At 41.1% G+C, this 20,344-nt stretch overlaps 1 non-coding gene across 1 annotated transcript; it reads right to left on the bottom strand.

The window, feature by feature from the left end:
* Positions 1-6,909: 6,909 nt before the first annotated feature.
* SNORA75B (small nucleolar RNA, H/ACA box 75B) lies at positions 6,910-7,046 on the bottom strand. The gene has a single exon (NR_145770.1). It is a non-coding gene; the product is annotated as a small nucleolar RNA, H/ACA box 75B (small nucleolar RNA).
* Between the last annotated feature and the right edge of the window lie 13,298 nt (positions 7,047-20,344).

Consider the following 20,344-nt stretch of genomic DNA (forward strand, 5'->3'; position numbering starts at 1 on the left):
TATGGTTTAATTTGCATTTCCCTGATGATTAGTGATGCTGAGCATTTTTTCAAATGCCCATTGGCCATTTGTATGTCTTCTTTTGAAAAATGTCTATTCAGGTCCTTTGCCCATTTTTTAACTGAGCTATTGGTTCTCTTGCTTAACAGCCATTTTCTTTAGACCCTGTTGGCCCACATAAAAAAAAGAAATAGGCAGATCTAAGACAAAAAGTTAATCTGTAATAATCCACCAAATAGCTACTTCATGCACTCTTTATACCTTTAATTTTTTTCTATCAAAGTTATTCTCTTTCTGCAATTGGTCACTTCTAATATATTTATGGTTGGGTTAGAGTCTGACCATATAACGTTTTTAAGCGCATAGCAATGCCACCTTTAAAAAGTTATCCTACAGTTATAGTCTCACAAAAATACAGTTTATTGGGGCTTTGTTTCTAATATCAAAAGATGGGAAACTATGTAAATCTCTAACATTAGTGGGCTACTTAAATAAATCATGGAACATGAACAAAATAGAGGATCTTGCAGCCAATAAAAAAGAATGAGATCTATCTATGCATGCCAATATAAAATAAATTCTATGGTGCATTTTAAGACAGAGTCTCACTCTGTTGCCCAGGCTGGAGCGCAGTGGCGCCATCTCGGCTCACTGCAAGCTCCGCCTCCCGGGTTCACGCCATTCTCCTGCTCCAGCCTCCCGAGTAGCTGGGACTATAGGCGCCTGCCACCACGCCCGGCTAATTTTTTGTATTTTTCGTAGAGATGGGGTTTCACCACGTTAGCCAGGATGGTCTCGATCTCCTGACCTCGTGATCTGCCCACCTCAGCCTCCCAAAGTGATGGGATTACAGGCGTGAGCCACCATGCCCGGCCTCTATGGTATATTTTAAATGAACAAAGCAAACTGCAAAACATTGTGTATAATATGCATTTTGTATGCTTAAAATATCTCTACTTGGCTACAAAAGAAAGTCATAGTTGTTGCTTCTAAGGAAGGCAGTGGGAGACATGGTTCCGACATGTAAGGAAAACTTACTGTTCATTGAACTTTAATTTTTTTTTTTTAGACAGAGCCTTGTTCTGTCATTCAGGCTGGAGTGCAGTGGCATGCTTATGGCTCACTGCAGCCTCAGCCTCCTGGGTTCAAACAATCCTCCCACCTCAGCCTCCCTAGTAGCTGGGACTACAGGGGTACACCACCACACCTGGCTAAATTTTGCATTTTTTGTAGAGATAAGGTTGCCCAGGCTGAAATATTTTAATTTTTTACAATGAGCATATATTAATTTTTAGTTAAACATAGACAATCAAATGGGAAGGGGGAGGGCTTTGGTTCTGTATTTCATGAAACCAGTCAAAATCACTATCACTTTTGGCTAATGGTAATCAACTCAAATTGCAAATTAGCAATTAATTTATCTCTGAATCTATCGGCAGGATTTCAACATCTCACCAAATCTTACTAAGAGTTTTAACCATATGCCAAACAGTTATTTCCTCGGTCATTCATTCATTGCACCATTCAATTCATACTAACCGTGGGCATGCACAATGCCAGATGCCATGCTGGGACACAGGAACACAGCAGTGAGCAAGAAAAGGAATTCGTTGTTACCTCTTTGAGCTTAGAGTCTAGCAGGAAAGACCAACCTTCCTACTAAGTAACTGGAGAAATGTTGAAGAGCATTGTAAGAGTACTTGAAGGGATGCTTACACAATCTATGTATTGGAAAGACCTCTGAGGAAAGGACATTTAGCTGATACCTCTAGTTAACCAGGTGACTGGTGAGAGAGCATGTTCTAAGAAGAGATGGGCAGATGGTGCCACCTCAAGGGTAAAACAGAGCTCTACCTGGCAGATTGAAAGCTGTCAGGACCAATGGAGCCTCAAGTTCAGATAAATGAATGGGGATACCACCAGGGAGCAGATCCTAGGGGACTTGAGCAAGGTTGAGGACCCTGGACCTCACTTTAATGACAGGAAGAACCACAGCAGGATTTTAAGCAGGTGTGTTAATCTCCTAGGGCCACTGTAACAAATTAACCACAAACCAAGTGGCTTAATACAACAGAAAAGCATTTTCTAATAGTCCTGAGGGCCAGAAGTCTGAAACAAAGGTATGGTGAGGGCCGTGCTCCCTCTGAAAGCTCGAGAGGAGAATCCCTCCTAGCCTCTTCCTAGCTTCTGCTGGCTGTCAGCAATCTTTGGTGTTCCTTGACTTATAGACACATCACTCCAAACCCTCCCTCTGTCATCAGATGGCCTTCTCTCTGTAGGTATCTCTGTCCAAATCTCTCTCTTGTAAAACCACCAGTCACAGTGAATTTCAGAGCCACCATGATCCACTATGACTTTATTATTAAGTTGATTACATCCAAAAAGACCCTATTTCCAAAAAGTCATATTCCCAGGTTCCACATGGAAGTGAATTTTGGAGGGACCCAATTTAACCCAGTACAGCGAGGACACAATATAATCTGATTTGCATTTTATAAAAACTATTCCAAGGATAAAGAGGGAAAAGATAGGGAGGGAGCGAGACTGCAAAGATAAAGATTAACTTCATATACATCTTTATTATTTTTGAATTAGGAGATTCATTTTGAGGCCCGAGCTACATACACATCAGACGTTGAGCTAAGAGCTGTTTCCATGATATCTCATTCTGTCCTCAAACTGCCCTGTGAAGATAGTCAGAGATGTGACTTTACCTGTCCATGGTCACACAGCAGTGCCTCAAACCCAGATCTGGTGGGCTCTAGAGCCTGTATGGTTTCCATCCTCCCAGGCTGAAAACTAAACACATTCTCAAGGCAATGAGACTCCTTTGACATAGATTTCCAGGAGATGGAAAATACTGTACACTGGCATGGTTTTAAGCACACTTCAAATTCTTTATGCAAAGCCAGGGCAAAAGGTGAATAGTTAACATATCCTAAAGAGCAGTCATGTTGTAATGCAAAGGAATCTGAGGGTTCCAATCACACTGTACCATGTCCAGTGATTCAACACTAGGTCAGAAATATTCTTTTTAAAAAGAGACCTATGTAAAATCCGTGCTTCACAAACACAAGCCCATATTAAAAGAAGCCTGCTTTTTATAAAATGAAGAAACTTGAAGCTATCATCTGAAAAACTCAGATACAGAAATGAATACAGAGGAAAAAAGAGGTAATTGGTGGGAATTATTTGGACTGATAGCTGATATTGATCAGAAACAGACTGTGGGTCTTCTCCCTCTTTCCTGCTTTACCTCCATAGTCCACAATTGTAAAGGTGGGTTGAAATTTTAAGAAACAACAATGAAGACCAAGGTTATTCTCTCTTGTGCTCAGTAGTTTTTAAGGGGTCAAATGAGTATTGTGGGTGTAGGTTACAGCTTCTGTCACTTATCACAATTTTGTCATCTCAAGGTCTGAACAAGGGAGCACCCAACTCTCAATTTCCTCTTTTTTGTTCCATGGCTTTTTCCTGCAATATTAAAACAGAAATGAAAGAAGGAAGAAAGGAGGGAAGGAAGGAAGGAATGGAGGAAGAGAGGAAGAAAGAGAGGAAAGGATGAAGGAGAGAATGAAACTTGAAAAAAGTACATGTGAATCCAAAAAGGGAGGAGAAAACAACGATTATTCTGATATGTATTACTAGTTTAAAAATGGAACTGTAAATCAGGTTATAATTTATAAACTGGTTCCTAAAAATAAAGAATAAAATATGTTCAAAAGCAATTAATAAGCAATTTTTATCTAGGAAGTGGGTGATTTTTGCACAAGGGGGAGAGAAATGCTCCAGGCTTTGCCTCATCTCCTAGAAGCATCCCATATTCTTAGATGTGACGTTGCCTTGGTAACCACAACTTGGTGACCTCGTTATTTCAACCTAATCCTGCTTTGAAATTATAGTTGCTCCACCCTTTTGCCTGGCCAGCCTGATAACATAATCATTGTAAATGAGGATGAGAAAAAAACAGCAGGATATAGTCCCTCCGGTGACACAAGACCAGTCTCACCTTATCATGGAAATAGACGAACAATTAAACGGCATGAATCTAAAACCCTAAAAGTGGATTTTCTTATTTTTATATGGCTTCTTATGCTTATTTTCAAAACCTACTGGTGGATTCAATGTAGCAGGGTATCTTGATATTACTATATGAAAATGGAAAATTCCTATTTCTGTTAAAAAAAAAGAGATAAACTGTCAAAGGTGAAGTTCTTAATTATGCATGTGTTTTGCCCAACAGCTGAATAGAAACCAGAATCAGAAAATAATTTTTTAACAAGTAGACTGGCAGTATCCAGGTTTGTTTGTCCAGCTTAACTTCCTCTGGCTAAAGCCTCACAGATCAGTTGTCATCTTGAATTCAGGTTCCTTTCATAACAAAAGAATCAGGAGATGACATTGCTTACATTCTGAATGCATCAAGTCGAACTATACTGTAGTTTAAAGGAAATATATTTACTCATTTGTTTCAATTTGTGTGCTTTGAGATCTCTGCCCGGAAAGGAAGGAAAATCCATTCTCTTTCTCCTTCATTTCCTCCTTTAAAAAAAAAAAAAAAATCCAAAATGGCTAGGATACAGTAGTGATAGGTTCGGATCTCAATAAAATGTTCATACTGCTCCCAACTCATACATGGGTAGCTACGTGGCCTGTCTCTTGGGCTCCTGGGCTCCCCTTCCAGGACACCCCCCCCATTTCTGATTGCCACACACCAGCTCACTCACTGTCTTTCCAAAAGATCCCCAGTTGTGGCACGTGGAGGGGAGGGTTACTTGGATGGATTCCCTTCACCCATTCTCCTGCTGGCAATAGTCCTGCTTCCTCTGTCTCCCCACTGTGTGCTTCCCAAAGAATAATTCTTTGCTACTGGTGGATATGCTGTTGGCCTCACCAATGGATGTCAATGGCAGCTCACAGGTGAGATGCAAGTTCCCACTCAAGGCCGTTATCCAGAGAGAACATGCCCAGGGGATAAGGCCACCCATGCTGGCATCCCCTCCTGCTGGCGAAAAGAGAGCCACTGCCATGGGGGGAAGAGGGAATGGCCAATGGTTGGTTAATGGATCCAAAGTGCAGCTAGATAAGATGAACAACTTCTAGTGTACTAGAGCACTGTAGGGTGACTATAATCAAAAACAATAATTTATCATATATTTTTAAATAGCTAGAAGAGCAGGTTTTGAATGTTCCCATCTCAAAGAAATGATAAATGTTGGAGGTGATGGATATGCTAATTATCCTAATTTGGATATTCTACATTGTATACATGTATTGAAATATCACACTGTACTCCATAAATATGTACAATTATTATGTGTCAGTTAAAAATAATATAAAAGACAGCTGCCATCAGTTATGTCTTTTATCTACAAACACAAGACAAGATTTGTGTCTTGTCATATATGACAAGATTATATTGTCATATAATCTTAAGAATTTAGGGAAAGATTGTAGCTTCTTGAAGAAAGTATGCTGCATCAATTAAAGCTTCACTATCAGAGTGATAATATCAAATCTCTTAAGATAAATAACCTGGAACAGCATGCATTTGACTTAAGAGTATTTCTTCCCTTTTGCTGAGGTGAGTAAAATTAGCATTTCATAAAGTGTGAGCTCCAGGTACACTACACCGGGCCATTCTAAGCCTACACTTCTCTTGTTCACTATAGCCACAAGGAGTAATAATAATGACGATGATAACAGCTAACATTCAGTGAGTTTGCATATTTACCATTTGCCTCATTTTACAGAGGAGTGGCTGACACACAGAAAGCAGAGGGTCTTGATAGCCTCCCAAAGCTGGCAGGAAGTGGCAAGCCAAGATTCAGATGCATGTAGCTACTCAGCTATTCTGCCCTCCTGGACCTAACTGTAGAACTAGGACCAATGGTTGGACCCCACGAGCAGACACATCAAAACTCACTCTGAAAAGAAAAGTCTAAGTAGTCCAAGCTGTCCAAAGACAGAATAGACCTAGACAGTCTCAAAAACAAAGGAAACACACAAAGTATGAAATCTAAGACCAAATATCTTTGACCTCCCAGAACAGATCAAAAGTATAGATCTGAGTATAAATACTGTACCCTACTGGCCTCTCTAAGTATTCATCAGATGGTGTGTTTTTGGCTTAGGGGTTCTTAAATGATATACATAGAGAGAGAAAGGGAAGCAAATTTCTTGGCAGATTCAAGCATCTGTGTAGGGAAGAGGAAGGAAGAGTAGTACACTTAAGAGAATCGCAGTGGAATGGGAGTAAGAGGCTGAGAATAGACACGTTTTAGGTTTAGGCTAAGAATTGAGAGAACTCACACAGTTGCTGCGAGGATCAAAGGATAACATGCAAAAATAGACAGAAAAGTATAGCTCATGAGATAAATGTAAGAAATTCCGGTCCCAGAGGCAGCTGGCAGTGCTACCGGCTCCTGAGCAAGTGAAGCAATGCAAACTGTCGGAGGAATATGGTTCCACTGAACCTATTCCAGCCAGGAATAAACAAGGATGAAAAGGAGGCTTTGGGAACAATGAAGGCAACAAAGACAGCTGGTGGGGGGTGGAAAAAGGAATACATGAAGGGAAGTCCAATTCTGCCATGGCTTGGACATCAAGGTGCTCAAAATTCATGAAGCTCCTCCCTTCTACCATTTGCACCCAAGAGGCCTGAAAATAACCAGATTGCCAGGCCTTTCCTACCTCTCCTTCCCTCTATCTGAAACATCTCTCTTCTCCTTCCTTACTCAGCTCTTTCCTTTGTCTTCTGCTTGGTCATCTCCCAACTATGTTTCAGGTCTCTTAGTTGTCACTTTCTGCAGAAACCCTTTCTGGACTTCCCCTCACCCAATGCTAAATCCTTCTTCTTTTTGGTTCTCCAAACTCCCTGTTCTTTTGTTTGTTTGTTTTTTCTTCCCAGAATGTCTCACAAAACAGCCAAATATACCTCTGTAAAGACAGAAAGTAAAATAACGCTAGTTCTGTGAATTCTCTCTTCTTCTCATGCAAATCCATCAACTGCCATCAATGGACAGAAAGGAGCTCAATGAGAAGCCAAGCTCCCTGTTCTTTCTCCATTTCTATATAGTTACTGCCTCTTGCCATCTTCCCCATCACCCTCCATAAACTTGTTAACCTTGTGAAGGCAAGAACCATGGTGTCTACACAGTACCTGGCCCATAACAGAAACACAATAAATTCATTCATTCATTTACTCACCTGACACATATTTACTGAATATACATTCTGTGCCGGGCACTGAAGTAAAGCAGCAAACAAGACAGATAAATTCTCTGCCTTCATTCTTGGGGGAAGGAAAAGTTTTTTTTTATTTTATTTTATTTTTAAATCAAGTAAATGAAAACAAACAAGACGGTTACAGATTGCTAAAAGAGGTATGGAAAAAAATGAACAGTTTGATGACATGAAAGAGGAAGACCTTCTTTAAGTCTCATGTCTTTGGATTCTGGGAGAATCTGTCCCCTGCAGCCTAAAGCCATGTTCCTTCTTTCACCGGGATTCACTGAGATCCTCAGGGAGATCACAGGGCAATGAGGGGAACTGAAGAGGAAACCAGGGATTGTAATCATATGGGATAAGGCCTATGACAGATACTCACATGGGGCTGGGTGTGATGGAAGGGCCAAGTGGTATGTTGAAAATTTAGGAGCAGTGTTCCAGAAGGGCTTCTGGTGACGATGACTTCGAGCCTGGTGATTCAGAGTACTATGGTTTCTGGGACTGTAGTACTGGATTTGAATCCAGCCCCCACCTCTCACTAGCTGTGTGGCCTTGGATGAGTTACTTAATTTCTGTGTTTCAGGTTCCTCATCTGAAGGATGAGTTAAATGACAATACTCGCCCTACAGGGCAGTTGTGAGGATGAACTTTATTCATATACATAAACTACTTAGAATAGGGTGAATATATAGTGAGTGCTATACATGTTGACCTCGATTACTGTTTTCAGGATGCAAAAGAGTTAGCTCAATGAAGAAAAGAGTGGTGAAAAAGCATCCCAAGAAGAACAAATACCTGTGGAATGAAGGAAAGAATGGAAAGAATGGCAAATGACTCCAAGATGACAGCTTAGTCAACAGGCGCTGGCTTTGTCCGTGAATAATCATAGGGGAGAATCCATTGTGCTAGAGCTGCCTCGTGGGTTAAGAACAAACCCAGGAAAAATAGACGGGTTCTCTGTCCTCACAGGCATATTCAACAAGACTAAACACACAAGGAAGAGAGACTAAACACATGAGAAGGATGCAAGGCAGCAAAAAAACCGGCTCTGAACTAGGTAGCCAGACTCCAATGGTAATCTCAAAAAAAAAAAAAATGAATCATACTATTTTGTTTGTGATGTGCCAGACACTGGGCTAAACACTTTATATGTTTTTCCTGCTTAAATTCAGCCCACAAATACACATTATGTGACTGTCTCTCCATGACAAAACCCCTAGGAGATTTTAGGGAAGGGAGAGATTGACCCAAAGGACCCAAAAAGACAGCAAAGCTTGAGCTAGGCCTTAAGAGAAGGAAAGAATTTGAATAGAAGGTGAGTAAAAGAGAAACTACAGAAGCACAGCCCAAGAGAAACATAATGTGAGCCACAAATACAAGCTACATATCCAATTCTGAATTTTCTAGTGGCCACATTTTTTAAAGTTAAAAAAGGTAAAATTAACTTTTAGAATATATTTTATCCAATATTTGCAATGTATTAAAATTTCAGTATGTAATCAGTATAAAACATTATTAATGAGATGTTTTGCATTATTTTCTTTCTCTACTAAGTCTTTGATATCTGGTGTGTATTCTCTACTTACAGAACTTGTCAGTTTCAAGTAGCCAGACTTCAAGTGCTCAATAGCCCCATGTGACTACCACCTTGGACAGCACAAGTCAAGAGGTTTTGAAAAAAGAAAAGGCATTCATGGATGTCTTGCTAGGCCTCAGTCACTTTTTCTACAAACACAGCTTTATTTAATCTTCCAAACCACTCCCTTAGGGGAATATTGTTACAGGTTGAGTATCCCTTATCCAAAATGCTTGGGACCAGAAGTATTTTGGAATTCAGATATTTTTTCTAATTTTGGAATACTTGCATTATACTTATGCGTTCAGCATCTTTACTCCGAGAATCCAAAATCTGAAATGTTCCAATGGGTATTTCCTTTGAACATTGTGTCAGCATTCAATGGCAAAAGTTTGGATGTGAAATCCAAAAGTTTTGCATTTTGAAGCATTTCGGGTTTTGGATTTTTGGATGAGGGGTATTCAACCTGTATTATCCCCATTTTACAGAGGAGAACACTGAGACTCTAAGAGGTTAAGTTGACAGCTAAATAAGTGGGTTGATCTAGGATTTAAATCCAGCTCTCACCAACTTCAAGCCTGGGCATATTCCTCATGCTGGAATTGTCTTAGGAAACTGCTTCCGAGGACCGTGCACCCCAAAACAAGACAACACCCGGGCAGAGAGAACCACAGAGATCCTGGGATCCACTTCTGAGCAGCTTCCTCCCCAGGCTCCATAGCCCACACCAGCTTTGTACAGCCTCCCGTACAGGGAGCAGGGTGGACAAAAAGCACGCAAACACACGCAACTTTTCTCTTTCCAGTTAATTGAAATTGAGATGTACCCTGCTCCATCACAGCAAAATGACGAAAGGAAAGCAAGGAAGGGCACCTGTGTGGGTAAATCTTTTACTTCTGTTGCAGAGACGTACATGATGAACAGATACTTAGTTGGCTGCTTCTCAGCCAGCCAAGCAGGGCTCCCTTACACCCTTTGCGGCTCTATTTTGTTGTCAATTACTGTTTCTAAAACTATTAAGAGAGGAAGGGGGAAGAGTATAAACAGCATTAACGGTAATTTACGATCTGAAAAGGGACAGCAGGAGTTCGAAATCTGTCTACATTAAGATACTTTCCCCACGCTCCTCTGGGTCCTGGAGCTAGAGGATCAGGATCCAGGATCGTAGGAAAAGGATGTTTATACAACACTTCTGGCAGAAAAGACATTTTTTTTCCTTGCACGCCGAGGGCAAGGTTCAGCTGACTTTCCATAAAGGGTCTGGTCTGTGCCGAGCATGCTGTGGGTACCCTGTCCCTGGTGTGGGAAGATACATGAGCTTTCCAGATTTTTGTTTTATTTTATTTACTTTTTGTTTAATGAACCCTCCCTGATTTCTACAGTCATTCAAGCTTGCTGCCACCCACCCCACCCCACCTCAACCATCAGCAAAGCCCACCAGGAAAATTGCCAAGAGAGACACTCATCAGCTCTTCAGTGAGAATTTTGCCATGCTTCTGCCTTTGGTAACTCCAGATTCTTCCAGACAAAGGTTGACTCCATCACTAAGGCATGTTTTATGCCATCCAGTTTAACTTTGCAGGACCTACTTCTCAAGCCAAGGAATTGCAAGACCACATTATGTAGCAGCTTGAGTTAGAGTCTAAAAGGAGAGCCAGTTGCACCCCAGGATTACCATGATTTTTTCCTTTTTCTTTTCTTTTGAGGTGGGCATGAGATACCACGGTCTGGCTCTGAACACAATCTCTGGCAGCTGCTTATGATTCTCTCAACACTAATGATGTGATCAAGTCTTCGAGTGAATTTTGGAGCTGAAGGGAGAGACAAAAAGAAAATTTCATAAACCACCCCCAGAATCTGTTCGCTGAAGCACCACACATTTACAGTACCACCTTCGCGAACCAGTCTCTTAGATCACTAGCGACCCCACGTGGCCAATTTAAAAGAACAGTAATTTTTCTCCCCCCCCGCAGAAAAGAAACTTAACGCTTCAAGGTTTTACTCCTAAGTCTTCGTAGAATTTAAAAACTGAAAAGCTGTAAGGACCGTTAATGTCACCTGACCCAACCACCTCATTTTACAGGAAGCAGAGGTTGAGAGAGGTAAAAAGGGCCTCGAAAGGTCACACAGAATGTTAAGGTCAAGTTAGGAAGCAATACAAGAAATGATTCTAAGAGATTCTATGCTACTGGATTTTAATTTCTTAATCGAAGAAAGGAAAAGAAGGCTTTTGTTCCCCAGACCAGAAAATAAATACTGCTATTACAGAAGAATCACTGTAATAAGACTGCATGTTTTAAAGGATCCCAAGTTCCAATAGGTATGTAGGCAATACATATATTTCTTTCCTCTTCTACGCCTAAAACTTACCAGAGTACATTAAATAGAGTCACGGCAAGAATGAGGCCAGCATGGACAAGAGGGAGGAGTCGGCATTTGGCAAATGTGAATTAGATGCTCATTCCCAAAGCCTAGCCACTGAGCAAAGGAAAAGATTGGGTTTCATTTCCACCCTCATAATGGCACTGCAGAGTGGACACTATTATTCCCATTTTAGAAATGAGAACACTGAGGCTCAGGGAACTAAACTAACTTGCTCAAAATCTGACAGAGACTAAACTGCAAAGCTAGCTCTCTGCAGGACTTTACTTAATGCCTCAACTTATCCATCCATCAAATGGGATGATAAAGTCGGCCTGTTGATCAGAAAATGTTAGTGTTAGAAAGGGTCCTCAGAGGAACTCTCTTTCAAATGAAAATGGACCCGCTGTACATATAACAGTCAAAAATGATTGGTATCTATCTGCATATATATAATAAAGTCTAGCAAAGAGAACATGGGTGCTGTTGTGACCAGATTAAAGCTGAGAGTTAAACAGGGCATTTGCAGTTTTCGATCTGCTTGAGCATCCGGGCTGTATATTCTGTTTTGTTTACTCTGTAACATAGAGTTTCTGATTCACTTTCCCCAAGATAGAAGTCTATCTTGGTTTGATGGACAATGTTGCTGCTGCTGCAGCTGTTCAAATCACACTGCCCTTCCAGCCTCAGAGCCCTCCTCAATTCAAGAGAGAGATGCTTCATTCAAAGTCTGCTCTAAAACCAGTTAGTACGTGTCTACCTTCAGGTCCACGTGGTGTTAAAATATGACATTCTATATACATTTATATGTGTATGTGTTGATATTTATTACCACTACTAACACAGTTTTAAATTAGGTGCAGATGACCTTAAAATCATTTACTTAACTCAAGCACCACCATAGAATCCAAAAGTTCCAGGAGGAGGAAGGAAAATTTGAAAATCACTGATCCAGTCCAGCCTGCTATCAAGAAACCCTACTTTTGTTAAAACCAAAATGAGAACCTCCAAAATTTAGGATCAGCTCAAATCTCCACTCCTCATCACCATCACTACAACCCCATGTGTCACCTTTCCCACGAAGCATCTCATTTGGTCTCCTTTTGCCATCATAGGTTGGACCCCTTCCCCGCCCCACCCCACTACAGGACACGGTCCCCCATTCTTGGCAGCTCTATCCAAAGCATGGACCAAACCTCCCTTTGCTGTCTGCTCTGAGTACCATGGAAACAGTCTGGAATTTTCCCAATGCCATTTCTAAAATTACTGCAAGAGAATAGAAGGTAAATAAATACAGAAAGTGGGAGAAATCTAAAATCAATGATTTACAAAGCGTGAAATTCTGATCCAAATCTTACTACAGGTCATTCTCTCTCTAGAGCTAGAAAATCTTTCCCTGTTCCAGGAGGAGGTCCCCAAAATAGAAATACTCCATGTAAATTGGTACAAAGACTCTGAAAAGCAATCCAGCACCATCCTTCAAGGTCTGTAAAAAAATTCCTATGCTCGGGCCCTGTAATTTCACTTCTCCAACTCACCTGAATGAAATAATCAAACAGCGAGGGCAGTAATTCATTCACAAAGATGTTTGTCACTAACTCACCTATAATTATATAAAAAAAGAAAACCTGAAAACAAACTGTGCAACAGGGTTTATGATGTAGCCATAAAATGGAACATTACGTAGCCATTAAAAATGATGTTTTAAAGCATTTTTGATAATACTAAGTGGACAAAAAAAGAACTTTTAATGGCATTTAGTGAAAATAGCAAGGTGCAAAACTGGTACACATTATGTAATCAAATATTTCAAACCAAAACAAGAGAAGTATGAGTGTGTAGAGGGAAAAAAAAAAAGAAGAAGAAACTTAGCAAAATGTTCACAAAGTGAACTGACAGAGTGGTGAGATTCATGCTGATTTTCTTCTGTACTTGAATTCTGCTTTACTTTTATGATGAGTTTGCATTAATGTATAATCTGAAAATAAAATAAGTTGGGGTGGTCTCTTTAAAAAATATTTTATTAACTTTGAAGATATTAACTTTTTAAAGATATGAACTCTGTAGCCCAGGAGGCTGACACATTTTCTCAATCTACATCTCCCTACCTCCTCCCTGTCCCCATCGTGCTCCATCTCCACGCCTCCTGCTCCGCCCACCTCATCTCTGCTTCTCCTTTCTGCTTGTGGATCCCAGAGATCCACATTCATGACAGCCAATGATGCGACCCTCCAAGGGACCTTCCAGAGTCACATTTGTCAGGAGGCTGGTACCTCTTCTGAATTATTTACCCTTAAATAAAGCAACCCCATGAAAAATTCACATCTCTCAAACGTCTTGCAAGATTTTTCTTCTCCTCTTGGTTGAAAGGCAGGGTCTATGGAATTCATAATTCATTCAACTAATATTGATTGAGCGTCCACCATGTGCCAGGACCTCTTCTGGAAGAATACATGAGACAAGGCCACCACCCTCTGAGAACTGGCATTCTGGCATGGGCAAAAAATAATAAATAATCATGCAAATGAGGAGAATATCAACTCTGCTAAGTGCTGTTCTCAGAGTGACTCAGTGGCTGCCTGAGACAGTTATTCTTCAGATCTGCGACAGTAAAACCACGAGGGAACGTCCAGGAGGTACCTTGATGCCAAGATGTTTAGAAAAGCTCAACTTCTTCAGGTCTCGTGCACCAGTGGTGAATGCTAGAAGATGCCAAGACCTCTCAAGAAGAGAGTTGCAGGAGGCTTCTAAACACAGACATACGCACATGAGCTGTGGCCAGCTGGCTCCCGTTCTCCTCATAACATTCCCTCCACTCCCTGTCCAGTGATGTTGGTTAGGAGAGAGATTGAAGGAGGGTTGTCATGGTATTTTTGAGACTCAAACAACTCTTCTAAAAATTAGACTCTTAAATGGGTTGTAGGGGCCCTGTTGCTTCTCTCTTATGTGGACTGCTGTTAGGTTTTGTTTTTGTTTTTTCAAAAGAATAATAAAAGATTTAAAATCACTTGGAGCCATAATGACTTTATCTTTGTTAATTTTCCTCAGCAAATACCTTAGGATCAGAAAGTCCTGGAAGCAGAATGAAAAGTACGACCTAAGACAGAGGGCAGGGGAGATCCGAAGAGAAGAGAAAACCTCCAACTCAGTCTGTTTTCTCAACAGCACTCTGCAAAACACACACAGACACACACACACACACACACACACAGTCACTCACTCACACTCATCCTTCCTTCCCAGATACGCTATGGCATTGCCTGAGGAGCCATTCAGAAAATTTTCCAACCCCTCTATAACTTACAGAGCTCTTCTTTCCAGACATAAATAGGAATTTCAACTGGGCCAAAAGCAGACACTAAATTACCAAAAGATTCATCAAGCATCAAACAACAGAGGAAAATGGTTTGAAGCTGATTGTAAAAGATTAAGGCAAAAGGTTCCGTCCTGAGGAATTGCTGTTTGAACAGGAAATCAAATGACCTAAGGTGGTGTTGGGGGGAAGGGAGGGAAGAGGCATAAATAAAGGAAACAGCAAATACCCGATTGCTCTTGTGCCCGTGGAAAATTTTTAGAGAACTCAAGAAAATGAAAATTGAGCTCGCCCCAAATACATCCCAGATGTCCACTTTTGACTTCCAAGAAATGGGAATGCAAAATGGAAAAAATACTTAAAATGAAAATGAATCCATTGGGATATATCCTCCACTAATCTGGCACCCAGAATTTACCTTCTCTAATTTTGTTAAGCAAGTAGCAAATGTGGTACTTAAGGAAAAGGTGCCTTCTTCTCTAGCTGTGTCTGTGTCTATTTCATTTCTCTCATGGTATTGATGGACCTCAAGGGCAAAAGCCAGAGCCTGTGCTTGTACCAGGCACATTGCTGCTAGTAGGTGTTCAATACATATTTATTCATTGACTGAAACATAAGCTCTGAAAATGTAAGGATCTCTATATATACATATTACCTGTTAATAAAACGCACACAAGCATCCAGGTTGTGTAGAGAAAAGGTTTATGAAGTTACTGGTAATCATAGTAATGGTAAATAAATAGCTCTTTACAGTTTACAAAGCACTTTCATAAACTTTATCTCTTAACTCCTGTAACAGCCATGTGAAATAGGATTGAGGTTAATTCTCCTGTCCTAGCACCTTTCTGAGAATATCACCAGATGGACTAATTACTCAGCTCATAAAAGAATACATCCACTCTAACCCCAGGAATCCTAGATTGAGCTGTGTTAGCAGAAACAAACAGCAGTCAGCTCTGCTTGCACATCCTCAAAAAGACATATAAAATCTGAGCAACAGCAGCTGTAAACAGCAAAGTCAATTCACCGCCAAAAACAAACTATGGACCTAATTTTTCATATTCCTACTATTGCTGGTTCAGTTCTGGTTTGTGGGGATGTTTTGTTGTATTTTGTGTTTCTAATATAATTTTTTAACAGTTTGCACCCTCTCCCCCAAATATCTGACACTGAAAAAGGAAATACTAAAATGGGCTGGGAAAAGCAGAACTAGAAAATATTTCATGCATCAAACCTATTCTGGCTCAACTTCTTTTAACAAACCCACAGTTTGATGCAAGAAAGTCATGAATAAATCTGTTTTTACAGTGTTTCTAGACTAATTTTTTCACTTTGAAGGCTTTCAAAAGTAATTTGGGATTGTACCATTTCCTAGATTTTTTTAGACTTTTCATTTAAAATAAATGTCAATAATTTATTTTAAAGTACATCAGAATAGGAAGTGTAGTGTGTGTGTGTGTGTGTGTGTGTGTGTGTGTGTGTGTGTATGTCTAAATTAGTTTTAATCTACCTTATAGGGTAGGTTAGTTAGCCTTTGAAGAATGCTAATCAGAAAATATACACCTTAGGAGTGTTAGTTAACATTTGAAAGATCCTTATCAGAAGTTCCAACTCCAGAAACTCTACGACAATCACTTCAAATAGCAAATTCTTAATCTATACTATGGAATTTATTAACTTCACATTAGGGATATTTGAAAAAATTTCTCACTGTTGAAAGGAGTAGGGATCAAACATGTGGGTTGGTTAGAAATATCACACACGCATCTATCTCCACTAGAGTGTAAATGGAGGATAAGAATCCAAGGAGCCCAATAGTCTACTTCAGTGGGATACCCTAGCCTAGGTCTCATTTTGAACCTATATTACACCACTTGACAGATGATTCTATTTCCTGATCCAACTGGAAAGCTGACTAATTCTACCTCTAAATGGAACATTGCGACACCTGACTTCAGTAAGCCTTTCCTGCAAGGTGCTTTTAAGAGTGCCAAAGGGCAGGCCAGGCCTGGTGACTCATGTCTGTAATCCCAGCACTTTGGGAGCCTGAGGAGGGTGGATCACTTGAGGTCAGGAGTTCAAGACCAGCCTGGTCAACATGGCAAAACCCTGTCTCTACTAAAAATACAAAAATTAGCCAGGTGTGGAGGTGGGCACCTGTAATCCTAGCTAGTTGGGAGGCTGAGGCAGGAGAATTGCTTGAACCCAGGAGGCAGAGGTTGCAGTGAGCTGAGATCACACCACTGCACTCCAGCCTAGGCAACAGAGCGAGACTCTGTCTCAAAAAATAAAAAATAAAAATAAAAATAAAAGAGTGCCAAGAGGCAGAGAGCTAGGGCTTCACTAAGAATACAAGATCAGACCTAGGACTGCTATGGGTTCTGCTTGCTGATAAATGTTGGCACTTGGGCAGCAGAATTCATTAAACTTCATGGTAACATATCAGCTGATAGCAACACCCTGGGGGAGAGAAGCAGCCACGGTTTTCATCGACCTCTAATCCTTGGAGGCAACCAATATTCACCAAGACAACATGACAATTCCAAACCACCATATTGGCTAGGACAGCAAGCAACAGCTCAGCTTGAATTTATACTATCTGGAATTTGTTGGGAGAGTATAATGTCCTCTACCCATACTGCAGCCCACAGGGAAAAGCATTTTACCTTCTCTCCTTGTATGAGGAAGTTCTGGGGAAGGCATTTCTGCCCTTTCTCCACCTCCATCTTCCTACTCACTTTTCCCTAACATGGAAGCAGCTGAACATGGCCAGAGCGTGGACATTCACTGAGTCACATTGCACTGTGATAATGGTTAGTGGATATTCTTGACACCCACTCTTGTTCTCTTTCCACATCTTCTTTTACTTCCTTTCTTGGATACAAAAAACTTGCCTGAGCTTTGCAGCTGCCATGTGGTAGACACACCTGGGAAGACATGGCTGCTGAAGGCAGAGGCTCATCTATCACGTTGGTTTTTCCCACTGGGGCCTTAACTATGGTGCCCATTAATGTGGCCAGTTACAAAATAGTGTGCTCTCACTCACTATCTCTCGCTCTCTTTCTTTCTCTCTCTCTCTCTCTCACACACACACACACACACACACCATGAAGGCCTCAAGATTCAGATTCAGATCTAAGCTATGTTCTCCAATGCATGTCACACCAGGTGATGAAAGATGGGTTGTTGGGAGCCTGCCCAAATATCACTTAATAAAGCAAGTCTTCATTCATCATTGGCTGTTGATATCTAGGTGTACACTCCACTGGTCAAAAACTCAGAGAAGAGGAACGACATTTGGTACCCTGAAACTGAACCTCTACCAGAATGCTCTGTACCCATCAAAATCATTTTGTCTAACAATATTTAATAACATGGTGAAATATTTACAATACAATTGCAAGTGGAAAAAGCTTCATGCTCAAGAGGCTATGTAGTGTGATTGCAGTTTTGTTTTCTATATGAAAGGATAATGAAAGAAAATATCCCCAAAATGCGTATCTGCCTATCTCAGAGAGATGTTACCACTGAAGATTTCTATTTTTGATCATTACACTTTCAAAATGCTTTACAATGAACAAAAACATTTATAACTAGTGGGAAAAAATGTTATTGTAACAATTTAAATATTTGCTCTTGAAAGGGAAGTCTCTGTAACAGTGATGTCCCACAGGAATAGAAGAATGCAAGCCACGCAGGTAATTTTAAATTGTCTAGCAGTCATACTTTTTAAAGTCTAAAGAAACAGGTGAAGTTAATTTTAATAATGTATTTTATTTAACCCAATATACCAAAATATTATCATTTGAATGTGAGCTCAATATAAAAATTATTCATGAGATATTTTCATTGTTTCTTTTGTACTAAGTCTTTAAAATGTGAGGTACATCCTGGCTGGGCGTGGTGGCTCACACCTGTAATCCCAGCACTTTGGGAAGCTGAGGCGGGCAGACCACTCGAGGTCAGAAGTTCAAGACCAGCCTGGCCAAAGTAGCAAAACCCCGTCTCTACTAAAAATACAAAAATTAGCCAGGCTTGGTGGTACATGCCTGTAATCCCAGCTACTCAAAAGTCTGAGGCACAAGAATCGCTTGAACCCAGGAGGTAGAAGTTGCAGTGAGCTGACAACAGGCCATTACACTCCAGCCTGGGAGACACAGCAAGACTCGTCTCAAAAAAAAAAAAAAAAAAAAAATGAGGTACACCTTACACTTAAAGAATTAGCTACATTTTAGAGTGGCTATGTTTCAAGGGTTTCATAGCCACGTGCAGCCAGTGGCTTCTAGAGTGGACAGCACAGTTCTGTACACTAGCACTGAAGAATCAATTTAGAAAGCATGATGCCAGGAGAGTGGAGGGAGATCTCCCCCTAGTGTGCTTTAGACCTTGACATCCTACCACAGTCATATGTTAAAGTTGGGACTGTAAAGGCCCCTGTTAGAAAGTAAATATACACCCTTTATTCATCCATTGTTCACTGAGTCGTCATCATAGGTCAGGCGCTTGGCTGGATGCTAAGGATAACGTCATGAAGGGACCCCTGCCCTCCTGGTAACCCACTGTCCAGTGGGAGCAATGGCCCATAAATAGACTGTGGCTTTGATGGAGCACAGAATTCCTGCAAAACGAGACACTGGAGCCAGTCCTGAAGATGAGTTGAGGTCTTGGCGGAGGCGACAGAATGGGTAATGGGCACAGGTGTGTAAAGGAGCACGCCTCTCAGGGAATGAGGTGGGCTGTGGTGTCTGCGTCACAGGCTATATTGGGAGTACTGGTGGGAGCTTGGAGTAAAGAGAGGGCAGAAGCCATGGGGTGAAGAATAAACTGGAGAGACAGACTCCTGGTGTTTTAGAAAGGGCATTTCGGCTGCTACATGGAGGATGTATTGGAGCCATAGAGTGACTGGAGGAGTGAGGTCCAGCTAGGAGAAGAGAACTATGTCCACATGAGAGCCAAAGGTGCCGAACCACACAGTGTAGTAGGGAATGGGGATGAGTGAACAGAAGTAAAATCAACAAAACTTCGCAAGCAACAAGAGGTAGGGTGTGAGAGAGAAGGGAGAAGGTTTTAGTAACGCTTCATTTCTAGTGCCCTAGTCTGGCTAAGTGGGTGAACAGTCGTGTCCATAAACAATGGAAGCCTTGCTATCTGCATAGAGGAGGCTAAGTAATCACTGGGGACCAGCAACCCCAGCCTGGCACCTTGATCCAGCCCAACGATGAGGCTTGAGCTTGAATCTCTCTTCCTAACTGTCCAGTTGCCCTGTCTAGGGCCCTGTGCTTCTCCAGGCTGGGGCCCTACCTTACTCCTTGCTTTGATCTCCTTGGAGATCTCCTGGGGATAGTCACTGTCCTGGTGCCCCTGTCCTATTTGAACAGAACCACAACTGCCATTCTGCTAGTCAGCCTTCCCGCATTTTCTCTCCTACCAGGAGATGGGGCTCATTTTCAGTCATTCTTCTTAAATATTTTTCTTTTCAAATTTAATGTCGGGCTGGCTCAAAAAAGTAATTTTAGCAATACCAAAGCATTCATATTTTCCTTCTAGTGCCAAAATTATATTTCTTGCAAATAATTCCTTTTACTAAGTACAAATGTCCAGCATACAGCAAAAAGTGTTAGTCACATTTATTCACATTTCTAGAATAATTGGTAGTTTTCAAGGCACTTTCATGATTTCTCACTGCTCTAAAGGCAAGGTCCCAATTCCTGCCTTGATATGCCGGGCTCTTGGTGCCTGGAGCCCTCCCTACCTCATTGCCCCATTTCCCTCCATCCTGCCTCAGACTCTGCTTTCCATTCAGACCCATGGCTCCGACCTGCACCGTGCTCTCTTCCCCTTGCCTCTGACTGCACCTGTGCATA

The sequence above is a fragment of the Homo sapiens genome, chromosome 4 (genome assembly GCF_000001405.40).
Source record: "Homo sapiens chromosome 4, GRCh38.p14 Primary Assembly".
NCBI classification, from domain to species: Eukaryota; Metazoa; Chordata; class Mammalia; order Primates; family Hominidae; genus Homo; species Homo sapiens.